Source organism: Homo sapiens, chromosome 10 (assembly GCF_000001405.40).
Source record: "Homo sapiens chromosome 10, GRCh38.p14 Primary Assembly".
Lineage (NCBI taxonomy): Eukaryota > Metazoa > Chordata > Mammalia > Primates > Hominidae > Homo > Homo sapiens.
The window spans coordinates 130905361-130907846 of NC_000010.11; positions in this window are offsets into that span (position 1 = coordinate 130905361).

Below are 2486 nucleotides of genomic sequence, written 5' to 3' on the forward strand. Positions count from 1 at the left end.
TTCTGCAGAAGCTCTTGGCTTTCAGGATCACTCTCTCACTTCCTAGCCTGGCAGATGGTCCTCCCACACCCCTGCTCTGGCCCTGTCCTCTGCTCCCCACTCGGTTCTCAGCTGCCCTGTCCTCCCTGGCCATCCCCGCCGAGCCTCTGCCCCTACTGCCTGGATATCCCTGCTGGCTGCCTAACCCTCCCTGGATCCAGACTCACTCGGGCACCCCTTCTCCAGGAGGCCAGGAGTCCTCCCTGACCTCCCCCTCCCCTCCCTGGATGGGGCTCAGGCCCCATCTGTGCTCACCTGTGCCACCGCCTCCTCGGGACAAGCCAGTGTGCTCCGTGACCTCATCTGCCTCCCCAGCCCGACAGGGATTTCTCAGGGCTTACCTTATGTAAACAGCAGGTAGGACTGACCTGCTCATGGCAGGTGCTAGCTGTTTGTTGAATGAATGGACGGGTGGCAGATGAAGGGCTTTCCAGCACCCTCAGGTCTCTGCAGCTCTGCCACCAGCAGCCCTTCTCTGGGTCACTTTTGATAAGTGCACATGTCTGCTCCACAGCAGGCTCGTGGTGACGCCTCCATGTGCCTCTCTGCTCACCACGTCAGTCCCGTTTGTTGGATTTGTCCCGTTCTCCCTGACCTGGGCCCATGTAGGGTGGTTCTGGTTGGTTGCCTTTGGGGTGGGGGAGACTAGTGACGTGTCCTGGCCAACAAGTCAGGAGTGGAGATGAGGAGAGTCCCTTCTGGCACAGAGACCCTGCCACAGCTCCCACCGGGAGCAGTTCACTTCAAGACAGTGGCCTTCCACCTGCTGAGTCCAGAGGGGGCCACAGAGCAAAGTCCCTGGGCCACCCCATCTGGCCTATGATGGACACGGAGTGAGAGGGATGTGAGCCTCCATTGCTAGAGGCCCCCAGGATCTGAGGAGCAGCTGTTCCTGCAGCATAAGCTGGCCCGTTCCAACACAGTTTCCGTCCAGACTCTGCCTTTGCTGGAGTACAGGCTCAGGAAAAATTCTCTTGTCTCCAGAGAAAACCCTTCCATCAACTATGGACATGGAGGCGTCAGAGGCAGGCTCTCTGGCTTCAGGGGACAGGGTGGAGAAAATGATTTGGGAGAAGTGAAGACGCATTGCAGGAGGTGGGTATCAGCTCATTGGAAATTGAAGAACTGCTGCAAAGTAGTCCATCATTGATACCTGCAAAAGGGCTGCAGACAGAGTTTTAGGAATCTGAGGAGGGAGCAGCAAACTGTTAATCATGGATTGTTCAAAACTGTCTCTCAGGCCTCACTTTTCTGGGTAAACATTTTGGCAGAGTTTAAGGAGGCAGCAGATAGTATGAAAGCCACCTGTGATTGGATTACTAACCCCCAAGTTCCAGCTGTGGATGGACCATTTACTGTCTGAGAATGTGGGCAGGTCGTTGAAGCTTCTCCGGAGCGCTGCTTGCTCTGATCTGTGCAATGGTGGAGCCTAAGCTTGTCCACATGGGGCCACAGAGCTCAGGGCTTGGGGCCAAGAGCGTCTCCTCCTCTTCACGTTCTCTTTGTTCCTTCTCATTCTCTTCCTTCGAGGTGAGGGGAAGAAAGTGCAGTTGGGGGCCAGACAGACCACCCTCAGAGCCATCTCCTCTAGTCAGGTGAGGTGAGTTGGGATGAGTGATTTCCTATCTCTAGTGTCAGTTTTCCCACCTGTTACAGTGACCGTCACAGAGCAACCATCCTCCCAGTTTCCGTGAGGCTCTGGCTGAGCTAACATGCTCTGAGCTGCTCCCCGGTGTGTTCCGAGGCTCTGAAGGAGACATGAGTCTATCCCTCCTCACGCATGAAGCAGCCCTGGGGGATGCTGGGCTGTGAGAACGCAGCCTGCAGGCCCTCCTGGGGCCGGGTATCTAGCCCAGGGCGATGCATAGCGGAGGGTGCACGCTCTGCATGTTAAAGAGGCTCTGATGGTCCCAGGTTTCATTTTCAGAACAAAGGTGCTCTGGGGTCTTTTTGTGAAGTCCCAGAATTTGCCTTTCTGATCAGACCCCTCTGGATGTGACTCTGAAGCCAGTAAGTGCCATTCTCAGTCCTCTGCAGAGCTGGGGGCCTCCCTGCTGCCCCACACCAATGGGGCAGGTCAGATGTGTTATTTCAGGAAATGCATTTTTCCAGAAAGACTGACCCTAAGAGGTGCAGCCAGCTTCCTCCTGTTTTCACACCAACTTTTTGTTGTTTTTCCTTCGTGTGAAGTCGTTCTTAGTTCTGCCAATCTGAGAGATGAAAAGGATGGTATTGCAGGGGATTTATGTTGCATTTCTTTTATTCTCTTCTGTTTAGTTAGGTTTATTGAAGGATACTTTACACACAGCAGAGTTTGCTTGTTAGTGGACAGTTTGGTGAGATTTTGCAGATGCAAAAGCCGTGACACCCTGGATCACAGCAAATCCTTCCCAATCCTGGCAATCCCTCTGCTTCCCATCTGTGGTCAGCTCCTCCTCTCACCCCGT